Source organism: Homo sapiens, chromosome 16 (genome assembly GCF_000001405.40).
Source record: "Homo sapiens chromosome 16, GRCh38.p14 Primary Assembly".
Classification (NCBI taxonomy): domain Eukaryota; kingdom Metazoa; phylum Chordata; class Mammalia; order Primates; family Hominidae; genus Homo; species Homo sapiens.
In genome coordinates this window covers 15,018,481-15,035,711 of record NC_000016.10, presented here as the reverse complement: position 1 = coordinate 15,035,711, position 17,231 = coordinate 15,018,481, and the positions used below count along the sequence as shown (strand labels likewise).

At 48.0% G+C, this 17,231-nt stretch overlaps 1 protein-coding gene across 23 annotated transcripts in view, besides 5 other annotated features; it reads right to left on the bottom strand.

The window, feature by feature from the left end:
- PDXDC1 (pyridoxal dependent decarboxylase domain containing 1) overlaps positions 1-17,231 on the bottom strand; it is a 178,484-nt gene that overhangs the window by 117,507 nt on the left and 43,746 nt on the right. For 13 of the 23 annotated variants that reach the window (XM_017023059.2, XM_047433788.1, XM_006720865.3 and 10 more), the window contains 11 exons: positions 16,747-16,872; positions 12,958-13,008; positions 9,006-9,069; positions 6,746-6,834; positions 5,656-5,761; positions 3,806-3,977; positions 2,733-2,851; positions 2,313-2,434; positions 1,334-1,426; positions 1,159-1,255; positions 159-263 (listed from right to left, as the gene is read on the bottom strand). In XM_017023059.2, coding sequence (XP_016878548.1) covers positions 159-263; positions 1,159-1,255; positions 1,334-1,426; positions 2,313-2,434; positions 2,733-2,851; positions 3,806-3,977; positions 5,656-5,761; positions 6,746-6,834; positions 9,006-9,069; positions 12,958-13,008; positions 16,747-16,872 — 1,144 coding nt within the window. Of the gene's footprint in view, positions 1-158; positions 264-1,158; positions 1,256-1,333; positions 1,427-2,312; positions 2,435-2,732; positions 2,852-3,805; positions 3,978-5,655; positions 5,762-5,906; positions 6,835-9,005; positions 9,070-12,957; positions 13,009-16,746; positions 16,873-17,231 lie in introns of those variants that run through there. The other 10 variants (XM_024450194.2, XM_017023065.2, XM_047433790.1 and 7 more) reach the window with 2 other exon arrangements.
- Positions 6,539-7,071: an enhancer, noted in NCBI's record as "H3K27ac-H3K4me1 hESC enhancer chr16:15122498-15123030 (GRCh37/hg19 assembly coordinates)". NCBI's record gives its function as "activates a minimal SCP1, AML or CMV promoter by ChIP-STARR-seq in primed H9 embryonic stem cells {active_cell/tissue: H9 hESC(primed)}" and the evidence as "EXISTENCE:reporter gene assay evidence [ECO:0000049][PMID:30033119]".
- Positions 7,353-7,976: an enhancer, noted in NCBI's record as "H3K27ac-H3K4me1 hESC enhancer chr16:15121593-15122216 (GRCh37/hg19 assembly coordinates)". NCBI's record gives its function as "activates a minimal SCP1, AML or CMV promoter by ChIP-STARR-seq in primed H9 embryonic stem cells {active_cell/tissue: H9 hESC(primed)}" and the evidence as "EXISTENCE:reporter gene assay evidence [ECO:0000049][PMID:30033119]".
- Positions 7,977-8,600: an enhancer, noted in NCBI's record as "H3K27ac-H3K4me1 hESC enhancer chr16:15120969-15121592 (GRCh37/hg19 assembly coordinates)". NCBI's record gives its function as "activates a minimal SCP1, AML or CMV promoter by ChIP-STARR-seq in naive H9 embryonic stem cells {active_cell/tissue: H9 hESC(naive)}" and the evidence as "EXISTENCE:reporter gene assay evidence [ECO:0000049][PMID:30033119]".
- Positions 10,206-10,500: a silencer, noted in NCBI's record as "tiled region #1947; HepG2 Repressive non-DNase unmatched - State 15:Elon". NCBI's record gives its function as "weakly represses a minimal TATA promoter and a strong SV40 promoter by Sharpr-MPRA in HepG2 cells {active_cell/tissue: HepG2}" and the evidence as "EXISTENCE:reporter gene assay evidence [ECO:0000049][PMID:27701403]".
- Positions 10,206-10,500: an enhancer, noted in NCBI's record as "tiled region #1947; K562 Activating non-DNase unmatched - State 17:Gen3'". NCBI's record gives its function as "activates a minimal TATA promoter and a strong SV40 promoter by Sharpr-MPRA in K562 cells {active_cell/tissue: K562}" and the evidence as "EXISTENCE:reporter gene assay evidence [ECO:0000049][PMID:27701403]".

The following is a 17,231-nucleotide window of genomic DNA, read 5'->3' as shown; positions in this document are numbered from 1 at the left end:
AAGGCTGAATCCCACGGCTACCAAGATGGTTAAAGAGATGGTAGTAGTTGGTCTTAAGAGAAATAGACCTCTGGAGTTCAAGAACCCAGAAAACAAACGCAAGTAACAGTCAACAGGGGAAACCTGTTACCTGAACTCGGTGCAGAGGCGTCACTTACCTGGAAGCCTCTGCTTGGTGCGACTGCCCGAGGGCGTTGGAGGCAGCGTGACTCCTGCACCTTGTGCTTTGTAGACATATATGGGTTCTGTGGACTCCAGAGAGCCTGCGGGAGAGGAGAGGGCTGGGTAGAAGCTACAGGCACAGGCTGCCCTTGAAGACACCACCTGCCCTCACACAGCCTTGCTCCCCAATAACCTCCTTCCAGCCACTGAGCCTGCCACAGACTGGTGGAGAGAAGGGCACTTATGAATGTGCCGTGAGCTAGAGAAAGCCACCTCACAGGGCCAGTACCGCCAGCATCCGCCAGCAGTATGGCGTAAGCACACCCAGGGAGCCAGGCCCAACAGGGAAACGTACTGTAGCCACAAGAAGTGGGTGCCTTTTTGCTGAAGGCTAAGGCTTGGCAGATTAGAAATCAGATTATCTTTTGCTTTCATGACAATGGAGTCATCGTTTCCTGGGAAAGAATGAAGGAAGGGGCTCGAGTGTAGGAAATTATTTCCTTGGTAGAACAGGAAAGGAGTCACGGACTGTTAACACCCTCCCCACATTCCAGCGGCTGAAACGCTTGCTGGCTGCCTGGTTCAAAATAAACCGTGCCAGCACTCCATGCTTCAGTCTCTGCATTGCCACTTGCAAAAGCTGTCCTCTGCTGGGGCAGAACACACATGAAGACAAGAAGTATTAACCCTGAACCAAAATGCCCAAGACACAGCACCCTGAGAGTCTGCACGGCTGAGTGGGCGTGTCCTCATGGCCTTGCGGTGGTGACAGCTGTGGAGAGTGGGTAGCTGCTTCCTTGCTGTTTCAGCCGCCAGGGTGCGGTGGGGAGGAGGACAGGGCACACCAGAACTTGTCTCCTCAGATGTCCGGCCCACACCCAGTGATGAAGAACGGGAACCAGGGCGGGATTCTCAGTGGGAAGTGTTGGGACCCAAGGGCATTTGGTGAAACCTCCCAAGGTCAGCAAGACCTGGGAAGAGGCTATGCCGTCCTACCTGCTGTCAAGTTAAAAGTTCTTCCCTTCTGTAAAGCCTGGACCGGAGAAAACCAATTCAGCACGGAGCCCACTACAGGGATCTGCCGCAACACCCCCTGCAAGACAGGACCAGAGTTCAGGGCCACCTGGCCTCACGGCGGCTCCCCCAGCCTGCTGCCCATCGGGGGCCTCACCTCTTCCAGAAGCCGTTCTTCACTTGCCTTCTGCAGCTCCACTTGAGCTTCCTGAATGCCTTTCCGAACCACTTCTGTCATGTTTTCCAGAAGCTGTGGCAAGACCAAGAAAGACATTACTTGTTTAAGGTTCTCACCTGGGGCCCAGAAGAGCTAGTAACACAGCACTGAGGGAATTTTTCAAAAGCAGGTCAATGAAATCCTGCATTGAAAAGCCGGCGTAAAACGAACAGAAACTCAAAGACAAGCAGATAACATGCTCATAGAGGCCTAGGCAGACACACCTTGGTGACCAGCCTCATTTGCTACGTATTCTTGAAAACAGAGAAGTCATAAAGTCAGGCTGGAAAGAAACCTTAAGGAGTCCACCCAGAAAGGAATGAAGCTGGCTTCTCGGCCGCATGTCCAATGGCTCGTGTCTCTCTCCTTTCAGAGCAGTCTTACCTTGGTCCCTCTTCTCTCCTTTTGAGTGATTTTTAGGGAAGTAATCATCTGTTTGGAGGATACCTTATCAGCCTTGTATCCTGGTCCTCCATGCTAAGGGACCCACAGCAGTAGGTCTATTCCTGGTGGGAAGTGCTATAGGGAAGGGGTGTAGGGGGAACCACACATACAACAGCCCATTTCATTCACCCTCAGGACACAGCTCCAGAGCAGAAGTCCTCCCTGACCTTGGTGGCAGGGGTGAATGTGTCTGCCTGAGTGTCCAGCTACCCGCCCTCTTCTCTAAGGCAGGGTTACTACACAGCGTGGCTATGTGGATCTTTCCCCCTGAGCTTGTGAGATCACTGGGGCATGGGCTGTGTCAAACCTACTTGGCATCTCTGACACCTGGCACAAGGCCCAGCTTACAGGAAACATTGACAGACTTTGAGAGACAACGAACAGACATCCCAAGGGCAGCTGCTTTCCTCGTGGCCCCTGCTGTTTGGTGGGACAAAACTCAGAAGAGGAATGAACACTGATGGGTGCTACGGACCCTCGAGTTCTCCTCTATCTCCCGGGCTGTGGCCGCAATGGTCTCCACGAGCTCAGCAGCATCGACGTTGTCGCTCGCCATGCCGACATAAAGGCAGCTCTTCATGCTCTTATACTCAGGGCCTGCAAAGGTAACGAGACAAACTTGAGTTTCTCAGTCCTCTGTCATGGGTGAGACGTGGACCTACTCTCCTGTTCAGGGTCCTGACCACACACAAAGGGGTCTCCTCCATGGAGATTCTAAGGGCGGAGAGAAAGGCCTGGCAAGGCTGCAGAAGGGGAGGGAGGTCTCAGAACCGCATCTTCGCCTGGAACCCAGCCCGAGAGGCGCTAGCCCGCTAAGGGATGAGCCGTCGTCTTCAAAGCCGGTTACCAAGTGTCCTTCCAAACCCCACAGCTGACTTACAAAGTAAGCAGTTACCTATTTTAAAGGTTAGGTCAGATTCCAGTTCATTTAACTTCTTCAGGAGTCCAGCATGGATGTTTTCCCCTTCGGGATCTGATTTCAAACTGCTCTTATCATCATTAGCATGTTCATACCTAAAACAACATCAAACCACAGCATTTCAGCTTAAAAGATCAAATGTCTCTTCTGATACAGGATTAGAAACCTCTAAATATTAGCAAGACAATGCAGTGGAACCAGTGGGCAAAAGAGCTACTGCGAGTGTCTCCAGACCACAAACTTTCTGGAAGTGTGCCAGGAGTAAAGAGAAAGTCACAGGAAAGCCTTTTTTTTTTTTTTTTAAAGCAGGGTCTCACTTGGTGGCCCAGGCTGGGGTGCAGTGGCATGATCTTGGCTCACTGCAACCTCCACCTCCTGGGCTCAGTTGATCCTTCCATCTAAGCTTCCCGAGTAGCTGGGACTACAGGTGTGCACCACCACCTCTGGCTAATTTTTGTATTTTTTCTAGAGATGGGGTTTCGCCATGTTGTCCAGGCTGGACTCAAGCTCCTGGCCTCAAGTCATCTATGCTCCTGTTGGCCTCCCAAAGTGCTGGGATTACAGGCATGAGCCACCGTGCCCAGCTGAAAGCCTAAGTCTTTAGTTCCATACAAGGTCTGGAAGTCTCATGGGCAATACAAAAAGAGGTTTGCCTCACCTCTGAAGGCGAGAAAGCAGCCATAGGACTGCACCCAGTTCTCTCCCCGAGAGCTGGGTTCTTTTTCTTACTGATTTGCAATTCTCTATATGCCCTGGATAGTAACCATTCTCAGTGAGTGATATATACCTGTTGGCATCTTCTCCTAGGTAGCTGAGAGTCGGCACCTACAGACAGAACATTCAGCAACTCCCCTCCCTGAGCGCCACGCTGGCCAAATTGCCTGCTTGCACTGTGCTTTTGTAAATGCCCAGAAAACCGAGTTGCATTTTCGTTAAGCATATTGTGACTACACGTTCATCTTGGATTTCTAAGGTGGTTCAGAAAATGACCCACTCATGTTCTTTATACAGAAAAGTCTCCAACATCAAGCGGCAGGCCAAGACTTTACCTGACAACCCCTATTCCAGACCAGTTAGGGTCATCAACATATAGGAGACCTGCTGTTGCTTCCACTTCCTGCTTGAACTCTTCACGCAACTGGAGCGTACAGCACAGCACTGGCAGTTTGCTTTCTATGCAGGCTACGAGCTGATCCACATCCTCTCCCCGAGTTCCTAAAACTGAAGATGTTCACAATGTCAGAGAAATGCTCACGAGATGGCCAATGACAAGAGGGCAGGGCTCCCTCTTCCACTACTGGGAAGGTCAAAAGCTCGAGGTACTCCAGTTACCGGGAGCCATGGAGATTTAAACAAAAAAAGGCCCTCAACACAGATATGGAAGAATTAGGGTTAGAAACAGACACAGCTGGCTGTAGCAGGTGTGGAGTGTTTCTCTCACAGATGTGGCCCACAATGACATACTCCAGTGTTAGAAATCACTCTTCCCACAGCAAGCCTACTTCAGGCAGGCTGGAGACATCACACCATAGGTTCAGCACAAAAAGGCAACCACAGATTCTGTACATTCCTATGACTGAGAGAAAGGGAAGTACTGTGGTGGGCTGCTGTCCCCACACAGGAAGGACAGGGAGATGGTGACAGCGCCGGGCCTCAGGGCTCACTGGCTTACTTTTGCAGTTTTAGAGACTAAGTATCTAGAGCTGTGGCCAGGCAATCCTTATAGTGGCCAGTGCTTTGGGAATCTGAGCCAGGAGGATCACTTAAGGCCAGGAGTTCAAGAGCAGCCTGGGTGACAGAGTGAGACCACGTCTCTATGGAAAAAAAAAAAAAAAAAAAAAAATAGATGTGGTGGTGCTCGCCTGTAGTCCCAGCTCCTTGGGAGGCTGAGGCAGGGGATTGCTTGAGCCCAGGAGGTCGAGGTTGCAATGAGCTATGGTGAAGACACTGCATTCCAGCCAGGGTGACAAATGAGACCCTGTTTCTAAAAAAAAAATAAAAACCAAAACACAGATCCCCAGGCTCCATTCTAGAATCTCTGGGGGTGGGCGGCCACTGGTTGTGTGTAAAGCTCCCGGATGACTCTAATGTGCAGTGGGGAGTGAGAACCCTTGTAGTGGAAAATCGAGAGTCACAAGACATCAAAATATAGGAATTCCAGCCTGGCCAACGTGGCAAAACCCCATTTCTACAAAAAATGCAAAAATTAGTCCAGTGTGGTGGCTCATGCCTGTGGTCCCAACTCCTCGGGGGCTGAGGTGGGAAGATCACTTGAGCCCAGGAGGTCAAGGCTGCAGTGAGCCATGATCGCACCACTGCACTCCAGCCTGGGTGACAGAGCAAGACCCTGTCTCAACAACAACAAAAAAGGAATTCATGTGATGACTTTTTTTTTTTTTTTTTTTTTTTTTGAGATGGAGTCTCCTCTGTCCCCCAGGCTGGAGTGCAGTGGTGTAATCTCAGCTCACTGCAACCTCGGCCTCCCAGGTTCAAGTGATTCTCCTGCCTCAGCCTCCCAAGTAGCTGGGACTGCAGGTGTGTACCACCATGCCTGGCTAATTTTTTGTATTCTTAGTAGGGGCGGGATTTCACTATGTTGGCCAGGCTGGTCTCGAACTCCTGACCTCAGATGATCTGCCTGCCTTGGCCTCCCAAGGTGCTGGGATTACAGGTGTGAGCCACCATGCCCGGCCAATTCAGGTGACTTCTGAATTCTCATTCTGATTCTGGTAAGTTACATGGGAATGCTAATCTACCTAAATTTAGCCCAAAAGAAAAGAAAATGCCCCTCCAAAAAGAGCTGCTAATAACTCTAGGAGAATGGAGTATCATAAGGGCAAGCTAATCTACCCAGCAGCCCCAGAACAAAAGCAAGGGATGTCCACCAAGCCTGGTTTACCTGCTGCGGTCATCAAAGGGCTGAACCGCAAACACGTGCCCTCAGCTTCCAGATCCATGACTGTGAGGCCGCTTGCAGGCACCAGCTGCTTCAGCTGTTCTCCCAGCTGTGAGGAGGACACAATGAACACCCTCCTGTAACAAGGGACTCAGACGTCTTCAGGACCCACCCTCATCCCCTCGGCCCCAGACCAAAGAGCCTCCTGGAGAGCTGATTCCTGCTCTTTTGACTGTCTGATTACTTAGAGCAGCTTTTTAAAAACAGTAAATTTTATGGTTTTTTCTTATTAATACAAGTTCATTGTAGAAAAATTTAGGAAATACAAGTAAACAAAAAGAAGAAAATAACAATGACCCACAATATATTACTAAGCGACACCCACTGCTGACATGTGGTCTGCCCCCAGCGTCTTTTCTCCTAGTGGCGGGCAGGGAGTTGTAGTTGTTGTCATAAAACATGCTACTTGACACTGCTTAGTAACCTGCATTGATTCATTTCGTTTATGACCAGTTCCTTTCTGCTTGAGACACTCAGCTCTGTGGTCTCTCACAGCTGTGCTGAGCCCCAGCATGGATGTACCAGGACTTATCTGCCAACCCTGCTAGGCTGGGCGTGTCCAGCATTGGCTAGAACTGCTGCTGCCGCCATCCCACACTGTTCACAAGACCCTTCAGACTCAAATCCTAGAGCTGCTATTCAGTGCCCAAAACGCTATCAAAGTGCAGGCCTGGCTCCACACTGCCAGCTGCAGATGCTCGGCAGACTCTGCCTGGGGCTCCCGGCTGTGCTGCCCAGGCTCACCAGAACCCACCGCAGCTGCCCTGCAGCCCACCTTTTGCCTGTTGTCTCACAGCCTTATACAGCAGCAAGGAAAGTGAGGGAGCAATGCCAGAAGGACTTGCCAGAGGTGACCCAGCTCGTGAGGTGGTAACGCAATGGGGAACAGAACTCCAGAGCAGGCCCAGCACTGGCAGGGCGGCTCCTCCTGTGGGCCTCAGTTCCCATACACGAGCACGCGTCACCCTCACCAGCAGGTCGGATGGTGATGGACGGGGACCTGAAAGGAAAGGGGGGTGACTGCCATTCTCACCCAGCGATTCAGCGCGTCACACGAGTGCCTCTCCCGGCCGACTCCTGAAGGTGTCATGTTGGGCACTGGGACGGCTTTAAACACCGGATCTGACACCAAAACACAGAAAGGGAGTCACTCCCAGAAACACGGCTGACCAAAAAAAACACCCTCCAAACCCCACATCATTCCCATCCCAATATTAGCCCCAGGGCACTGACTCGTATTACTGAATTCTCATGTATTATCTGACAGAAGGGCTACATTTCTTTTTCCTCGTGATCTATGTAACACTTGAATACATTCACATAAGACAGAATTATTAATTTCATTTTTGAAAAGGTTTGCTTTCAAGGGATTTCAAGGGGAAACAGCAATTGTTTTAAGTTACTAACTAGTTTACCAAGCACCGTGCGAGGTCTGTGAGTGCCACGATCATCTAACTAGGCCTCACAGTGGGTGCCAACCCGTGCCAGGCACAGAGCCCGACACTTGGGACAGAAGGCAGGTAAGGTTTCTGTCATCTTGGAGCTTACATTTTAGTTGAGGAAACAGACCATAAAGAAAGAAAATCACTCCATGTGGTTGTTAGTGTCACAAGTGAAGCTGGGGGCTCTGATAGAAAATGATGGAGTCCCCTCAGGCACGATAGGCAGGGAAGGCTGAGGATGTGGATACTTAGTGGAGACCGAAATGGTGAGGAGGAGCTGGCACCAGAAGAGAGAAATGTGTGTAAGACAGAGGGAACGCCGAGTGTTAAGCCCTTGCGGTAGGAAAGGGCAGAGTGTTCTGGAGCGCGGAGAAGACTGGTCTGACTGAGGCACAACGAACAAGAGGGAGAGTGGAAGGGGGGAAGGCAGAAGCGAATTCGGGGCAGAGTGTGCAGGCCTCATGGGGCATGGGAGAGCCTGGCCTTTGTTCGACCGAAATGGTAAGATACCCAGGGGCTCTGGGCAGGGAAGTGACACTGATACGGGAGTGCTGGGAAGGGAAGAGCGTGGTCCCTTTAAATGACACAGAAGCGGGGAAGGGAAGTGCTGGGGAGAGAAAGGCGGGTCCCTGGCTAGGACTCTACCCCCACGGACCTAGGTGAGGACAAGCACTCCTGCCTTCCCCCAAATGTTGCATTTCCCAAGACCACGCTGGCCCACCACACCACCATCCTGGGCCTATAAAAACCTGAGACCCTAGTGGGCAGACAGAAGTGGCTGGATGGCCAGAGGAACACATTGGTGGAAAAAGACACAAGCGGCTGGTCATGGAGAGCAGGCCGGCAGAAGAGCACCCCGACAGGCCCCGGCAAGCCAGCAGGCCATCAACCACGGGGACGAGGCGGAGTTTGGCCAGGGCCGCTGAGCGGCCCAACTCCAAGGGAAATCTGTCTCCCTTCTGGCTCCCCCATCAGCGGAGAGCTACTTTCATTCAATAAAACCTTGCACTCATTCTCCAAGCCCACATGTGATCCCATTCTTCCGGTACACCAAGACAAGAACCTGGGATACATTAATCCCTCTGTCCTTGTGATAAGGAAGGGGGTCTAAGTGAGCTAAAACAAGCTGCCTACAGACGGCTAAATTAAAAGAGCACACTGTAACACATGCCCGCTGGAGCCTTAGGAGCTGTAAAACATTCACCCCCAGATGCTGCCATGGGGTCGGAGCCCCACAGCCTGCCCGTCTGTATGCTCTCCTAGAGGTCTGAGCAGCAGCGGGGCACTGAAGAAGCGAGCCACACCCCCATCACATGCCCTGCGAGGGGGACAAGGGAACCTTTCCGGTTTCAACACCATGTGACTTCCACTTATAACCCTCTCTGCCAGGTGGAGAATGGTCTGGAATGGGCTGTGTAGAATGTATGAAAGTCAGAGGTCAGTTGACAGGGGACAATGGCCAACCAGGTAAAAAAAGAGTGGTGCCCTGGACTAGACTGGTGGCACTTGGGTCATTCTTTAAGATACAGATTCCTGGGCACAACCTATTGACTCAAAATATGTGGGAAGTAAGACCCACAAATCTTTATGTTCAAGCAACTCTTTCTTAGCCATTCCAGCACTGGTCCAGGGACTGGCATTTGGGAACCCCTGGTTTAATCACCGCAAACTATCAGCAAATTGCTAAGGCGTTTCGGACTGTAGTTTTCATGAAAATTATTACATTTTTCTGAAATGCTGACTGAAGATTGTCAGCAATAAAAATATTTTGAACTATTTAACTTGAAATGGTATCAAATTCAAAGCCTTTAACACAGATATGAAAATAACCCTCTTTTAAAATTCACCGACCTGAGCCTGGTAATTCCTGGAAAAATCTGAACACCACCACTGGGGAGCTGAGCTCATCTTCCACCTGGAAGAATGGAAGTCTCATATCACCAAGTAACATTAAACTCCAGACGCCTTCAAAATGAAATGCTGAGTTCAAAAACTCGCTTAGAAATGCTCTATTTGTAAATAAACACACTAAAAAGTTCAGAGGTTAATTTCAGTTGCTAGAGAAAAATCAAATGTTTAGTAAAATTTTAAAAAATAACTATGAGCCAGCCTTGAGAGTACACTGTGAATTATAAGATGTTTGACCCTGGTACATTGAAATTAAAGCAGGGGGAAATTTTAATAAGGGATAAACATAGGTCTAACATTAAAGATTAAAACCAGTAAGAAGCAGTGAAACTAGACTCAGTGCGGAGAGAGCCCATGCTTTCAAGAATCCCAGAAATTATGCAGGATTTATTGAAACTTAAACGGTTTTTTTAGAGATGGGGTCTTGCTATGTTGTCCAGGCTGGCCTTGAACTCTTGGCCTCAATTAATCCTCCTACTTTGGCTTTCCAAGTGTTGGGATTACAGACGTGAGACACCGTGCCTGGCCAACTAGAATTTTTCATACTCATAGAAAAAAAGAGGGGGCAACAAGTACTTTCCTCCCCTTTGCAAAACTTTCAGAACAAGATGCAAGTCCTGCTGGTGATGTAGACAAGCACAGCTGAGAACTGGATCTGTGTATTTTCTAATATATTTAATTATTATTAAAGACAGGCCGAAGACGACTAACTTCATTAGTGGGTTTCCTAACAGTTGAAAACATCCACTGCATTATGTATTATGATAATCCAGCAGCGAGTTCCTGTTTTGCATCAAACAGTATACCCTGACTTGGTCAAGCCATGGGGTCAGGGTACCGTAAGCATCCATGTCCTTGGCAGGCTCTGTGGTACTGTAGGGGAGTGTGGGTGGCCCTGGAGGGGGAAGATCTCTAAGCATCCAACAATCCCAGTACTATAGCTCTAGTAATAAAACTTATGTTCCAAGGCTCTGAGTGTGATGACTCACTGGTAGGGCCGCAACAGGAAATGCTAACTTGGAAAGACAAGAAGCAGTGGCCCAAGATCTTTTCTACTAACTTTTCAAAGGACCGTGTGGACAGTATTCATACCAAGCAGGATGTGAATTCAAATCTGCCAATTATTTAGGGGGCCAGTCCTGTGCTAAGTGCCTTCACATCTATCATCTTTAACTTTCACAGAGACAAATAAAACGTGATACTTTTAAAGGTACGGCGGCGGGCGGCAGGGGGGCGGTGCTTAATATTTAAATAGGGGCGCACGCCCAATAAGCAAGGAGGAACAAAAAGGCAACAAAATAATCCGCCCATTCTCCCATCCTCAGCTAGGAGATGGCAGAATGAGGTGAGTGCCAAGACTGCTATGAATATTATGATCATCTTTTCTTTCTTTGAACTCAGTGGTCTCAAATGTCAATGTGTGTAAGAAATAGTATACAGGGTTGGAGACACTTCTGGTTCTAGTAACGTGATAGACTGAGTGAACACTGAAGTTGTCAATTCTGAATATCTGAAATACTGGATTAAATATAACCAAGAACCAAAAAAAGGTTAAACCATGGCTGGGCTCACACCCAAAAAAAGGTGAATCCACAAAGAAGAGGAAACAGAAAGAGGACTGTAAGCTGAGTGGCAGGGGATGGGAGCATGTCTGGGGCCTGGCACTGGGCTTTCAGGGCTAGGGTCTTGGGTGTTAATGCCCAGGTGAGGCACAGTGGTGAGTCTGTATAAGGCCTTTACAAACCTTCTATAGGAAAAAACAAACAGATTTGATTTCAGATAGTAGTAAGAGTGATGAAGACGACCCAGGGGGATGGAGTGATGTCTGACGGTGGGAGATGATCTTAGGGTGGCCAGGAAAGGCCTTTCTGAAGAGGTGAGATTTGAATTAAGATCTGAAAGATAAGAAACCAGTCATGAGAAGAATTGGGACTGGGGAGGCTGGGCGCTTTGGCTCATGCCTGTAATCCCAGCACTTTGGGAGGCTGAGGCGGGTGGATCACGAGGTCAAGAGTTCAAGACCAGCCTGGCCAACATGGTGAAACCCCATCTCTACTAAAAATACAGAAATTAGCTGGACATGGTGGCATGCGCCTGTAACCCCAGCTACTCGGGAGGCTGAGGCAGGAGAACTGCTTGAACAGGGACCCAGGAGGCGGAGGTTAGAGTGAGCCAAGATCGCACCACTGCACTCCAGTCTGGGCTACATAGTGAGACTCTGTCTCAAAAAAAAATAAACAGAAGAATTGGGGACGGGGGGTGGGAAACAGTGTTTCCAGGCAGAGAGAACAGCACATACAAAGGAGACTGTTGGGAGGGTTAAATGAAATAATTCATGTAAGGTACTTAGTACCACACATGAATTTCACAAGCAGCAGCTGGAATGGTGGTGATGGTGATGGTGATGATGAGGACTCACAGGCCATAATGCCTCATGGTATTAGCCAATTATTGTATCCTCTACTGAAAAAACAGCCATTGGAAGAAGGGACAGAGCAGGCTTTCTGCCTGGGCCAGTGTGGCCTACAGAGATGCTCCAAAACAACTGGTGATTAACTAGCACCACTGGGTCCCCCAATTTGAGAATAAGGGAGCAGCGATGACTGAGGAAAAGCCAAGTGCGCTCAACATGGCAGGGGCAGGAAAGCAGATGGGCCCAGCACCGCCTGGATTCTTAACAGCTTGCTCAATCTAGGCCATAATTTGCTTCTCTGTTTGCAATCAGAGGAGACCAACCGGCATACTTTCATTTGACAGTCAAGCTTGGAAAGAAAATGACTCAATGTCACAGGGCCACCCTGTGGCACTGCTCAGAGCAGAGCCCAGGCCTCTGAACTTAGATTCATCCCTTCTGCTTCTCCAGTGGTCCACTTCCTCGTCCAAGGATAGAACTCCCACTGAGCTAGAACTCGGGTCAACTGGCTCCAGACTCCCACTCAGAAGGCAGAGTAGCCACACCCCCTTCAACCAAACCATGCATTTTTTTTTCTTCCTTGAGACAGGGTCTCTGTCACCCAGGCTGGAGTGCAGAGGCGCAATCTCGGCTCACTGCAACCTCCGCCTCCCGGGTTCAAGCAATTCTTTCACTTCAGCCTCCCCAGTAGCTGGGACTACAGGCGTGTGCCACCATGCGCGGCTACTTTTTGTATTTAAACCAAACCATGTTCTAAAAGAAAAATAAACCTACTGACTTGAACCCCAAATACACTCAAATGTTAAACTTAAGCATACCTTGCAGAATTGTCAAAGAAACACTCAATGAACCTATTTAAATCAGAATTTGACATATATTTCCTGAAGTTCTAAAATACCATGAAGCAAAACACAAAAACTTTCAAACCTGAACTGATCCCCATTCTCTCCTAAGTCCTTATTTCCTTGTCTAGTTATGCCTAGGGAACAATCTGTTGGATTCACTTCAGGAAGATATCAGAAGACAAGAGCAGGGCCATTTGCTTTTCTCTTTCTCCCACTTCATGCAAATGAAAACTGATGGCAGAAGGTTGCAGAAAGAGAACCCCAAAGCATTCTGAGGCACAAAGTGACTTTTCATTTTGGGAAGAAGAGTGTGCCCAAGGCCTTGGGCAGCTGAAGTCAATGGTGTTTATCTTTGTGCAATTCTGAACTTTAACACAATAAATGAAGTACATGAAAAGCACCATAGGAATTAAACATTGTATGGTTCAAATTTCTTCGCTTCAGACTCACTGTATAAATATAAGCAGGTTTTTTTGTTTTTGTTTTTTGTTTCGTTTTTTTGTTTTGTTTTTTTACTGGAGCTGCCACAATTCCACTGAAATGTGGAGAAAATCATTCTAAAGTTCTAAAATCATTCAAAGTTGCTGAGGTTCAAAAAAAGTTATATTTTGAAAACAGATGAACTTATATACTATACCAAGATTTTGATGTAATTCACTTTCTTCAAACTTTCCTGCAACCGTTGACTCTGCAAATGACAAAAAATAACACATGTAATTAGATGGACGTGGGACATGAAGAAGTGGTTTTCACCAGGGGCTGTGGAGGTCTGTGAACACGGATGTCAGGCAAAGTCACCTGCCACTTGGTGGTTTCTAAGTTCAGCCACCTGTTTTTGTATTTCAACAACTGTAAATATTCACCAATCCTTCAAGTTACATGTAGTAATTCAAGAAAAGCAGTTTCTAATAAGACATGGAAATCTGTTGTATTTGCAATGTAAGTCTGTCATTCAAAAGCTACTGAGTATAAACACGTGCAAGGCACAGTACTGAACACTAGGGGAGACCAACGACAAATGAGAGGATGCAGCACGCTCAAGAGCTGGTGATAAGAGCACAGTGCTGCCACTCATCACCTGCAGGACCACGGATAAGTCAATTCATCTGCCAGTCACCAGCTATGTAACCTGTCTATGCTTCAGTTCCCTCAATTATAAAATGGGGAGGATAGTATGTATCTCACATTGCTGTGAGGATTAAATGAGTTGATATGCAATACAGGAAGTGCTTAGAAACAGGGTCTAGAATGTAGTGTCATTAGACTAATGTCTCAATCCCAGGTCCCTCATCACTAATCATATCTAACTCATGGGATTGGAGTATATTAATTCAACAGATATTCACTGAGTACTGGACAGTAGAAAGCCCCTCAAGAAATTCCTTTTTGTTTTCTTAAAGAAAATTAATTCTGAATACACTGTCATCAGTGGAACTGACATTCTAGTGAAGTTGCAGGGATCAAATGAGATGATGCATGAAAGTACTTCATGGTGCCTGACACTGAGGTGAATGCTCAATAACTACTGAAGACGAGAAAGAAGAGAGGGAGAAGAGAAGGAAGAGGAGGATGAGGAGGCGAATGCTGATTTACGCTCTCAGGAAATGTATGCTCCACTGTGGACTATAAGGCATGGCTATATACAGATCACCATGTCTGCTAAATGTCCAAGTAATTTAACACATGCATTTATTAGCCTGTGAGTCAGCAGCAGGACAGCATTCAAATCCTCAGGAGTATACGGTTCTGCCTGCAGGAAGATGCCAGAGCTGTGCTGACCTCAAGGGTCTGGTAGTTAATGGCATCATTCTCCCGCACTCCATAGCCACGGGATATTGAAAAAATCTCCCGAGTGCCCAAGTCGTCTCTAAACTAAGTTACTAAGGCTTCTCTTTCCTAAGAACCACATCTCAAGAAGTGAGCTAATAGCACAGTGAGACACTTTTCAAAAAATGCAGTGCTTTTGTAAACATAATGAGCATCAATCTTTTTTTCTTTTTTTTTTTTGAGACAGGGTCCTACTCTGTCGCCCAGGCTGGAGTGGAGTAGTGCAGTAGTGCTATTTGGGCTCACGGCAACCTTGACCTCCTGGGCTCAAGTGATCTTCCCACCTCAGCCTCCTGAGTAGCTGGGATCACAGGTGTGTGCCACTACACCTGGCTAATTTTTGTATTTTTTGTAGAGACAGGGTTTGACCACATTGCCCAGGCTGGTGTTGAACTCTGAGGTTTAAGTGATCCACCTGCCTTGGCCTCCCAAAGTGCTGGGATTATAGGCATGAGCCACTGCACCCAGCCCAGAGCATACTTAAAACTGTTGAACTATCCTAACATATGATGAACGAAGGGACTACTGCTAGAGCACTACGCAAATACTTTTCGTGTGTGTGTGTGTGTGTGTGTGTGTGTGTGTGTGTTTAGATGGTGCCACCCAGGCTGGAGTGCAGTGGCACGATCTTGGCTTACTGCAACCTCTGCCTCCCAAGTTCAAGCAATTCTCCCTGCCTCAGCCTCCTGAGTAGCTGGGACTACAGGCGCCTGCCACCATACCTGGCTAATTTTTGTATATTTAATAGAGACGGAGTCTCACCATGTTGGCCAGGCCGGTCTCAAACTCCTGACCTCAGGTGATCCACCCGCCTCGGCCTCCCAAAGTGCTGGGATTACAGGCATGAGCCACCACGCCCGGCCTATTTTTCTTTCTTTTTTTAAAAGACTGAGTTTCGCTCTGGCTGGAGTGCAGTGGCGCAATCTCGGCTCACTGCAAGCTCCGCCTTCTGGGTTCACGCCATTCTCCTGCCTCAGCCTCCCAAGTAGCTGGGACTACAGGCACCCGCCACCATGCCTGGCTAATTTTTGTATTTTTATTAGAGACAGGGTTTCACCGTGTTAGCCAGGATGGTCTTGATCTCCTGACCTCATGATCTGCCCACCTCGGCCTCCCAAAGTGCTGGGATTACAGGCGTGAGCCACTGCACCCGGCCACCTATGTTTCTTAAATATAGAAATGATACTTGAGGAAGTGCTAACTCCCCAAGAATATATTTAAAACAAAGATTTCAACCCACGTGCATAACTTACTATATGAACAGACACTACTGCAAGAGCTCTACCTGTATTCGTTCCTCGAGCCATCCTGGCAATCCTTGTCATATAATTTATATTTCACAGGTAAGAAAATGGAGGTGACGCACTTCTGAGCTTAGGGAGGGCTCAGCTCTAACCCTGAGTAAACATGACCCTGTTTTTTGGCTTTTTTTTTTTTTTTTTTTTTTTTTTTTGAGACGGAGCCTCGCTCTGTCACCCAGGCTGGAGTGCAGTGGCGCGATCTCGGCTCACTGCAAGCTCTGCCTCCCGGGTTCACACCATTCTCCGGCCTCAGCCTCCTGAGCAGCTGGGACTACAGGCGCCCGCCACCACGCCCAGCTAATTTTTTGTATTTTTAGTAGAGACGGGGTTTCACCGTGTTAGCCAGGATGGTCTTGATCTCATGACCTTGTGATCCACCCGCTTCAGCCTCCCAAAGTGCTGGAATTACAGGCGTGAGCCACCATGCCCAGCCTGTTTTTTTGCTTTCTAAATGCTATGATCTGAATATTTATGTCCCCACAAAATTCCTATGTGGAAACCTAATCGCAAATGAGTTGAGGCCTTTGGGAGGTCATTAGGGCATGAGGATGGAACCCTCACAAACAGGACTAGTGACCTTCTGAAAGAGGCTCAAGGGACTGTGCTCACCCCTTCTGCCATGTGAGGCCACATGCAAGGCACTATCTATGAGGAACGGGCCCGACATGGAATCTCCTGGCACCTTGATCTGAGACTTCTCACGTCCAGAACTGTAAGCAATAAATGTCTGTTGTTTATAAATTACCCACTCTAAGGTATTTTGTTATAGAAGCCTGAATGCTCTAAAACACTGAAATATAGCATAATTATATATTTTTCACAATTAGAACACACCTAAAATGGAGAGAGAATTAGAATTGTCCCCAAGAGCCCTGCAATTTGGAAACCCAAGCCAGCTGGTTTATAAAATATCCATGCCCTCCATAACCACCTTGTAACCTTCCTATTCCCTCACCGTAGTCAGTCAATCAAGGGGAACACTCGCTCCCCACCCCTCCACCTTTTGCACCCTTCTCCACTCCTTGGAAGTCATCTGTGACTTCTTTTCTGATCCCATGCTGACAGTGGTGTTCCTTTTCATCTGATTTCATCTGCACACAAATGCTGGGACAGACAACCCAGCACTTTCTCCCAGAACTTTGAACAAGAAATATTTACATGCAGGGCGATTAGTCTCTGGCTCACGAGACAGTCAATCCAGACAACACCACTCTGGATGGAAGGTACAGAAATGAGATGTTTTTCTGTCTCTGCTGTGGCCAAGGAGTCTTTCATTTAAATGTCAGGCTTCTACTCACCAGTTGACAGGCATGCTTGATCCTCTCCACAAACCCATCAAGTCCCAAGTATTGTAAAGATAACCACAGAGGCAGGGCACGGAGTTTGTCTGTGGGCTTATTTGATGTAAGACCAGCAACTAAAGTCTAAAAAAGCCAAAAGAGGTTTATTAATCAAAGCCATTGCAATCTCATAATAGAACTAACCAGCTACCATTTGCTACCCACTTAGTGTGGGCTAGATGCCATACTAGTCACTAGGCTTGCATTATCCATGTGATCTTCCAACAACTCTGTGAGCTAAGTATTCTAGGTAACTTCACTCAGAGACCTCGGTTTGTCCAAGGGTTCACAGCTCAGGAGTGGCAAAGCCAGGAAAAGCCAGTGGAAAACCCAGATGGGTCACATCCCAGAACCTAGGAGACTCCCCACTTCGAAGGTAGCTCTGAGCATCCTCAAACACCTGGCCATTATTAGCTGAGCAAGACAGCAGTGTTTTAGCAGAA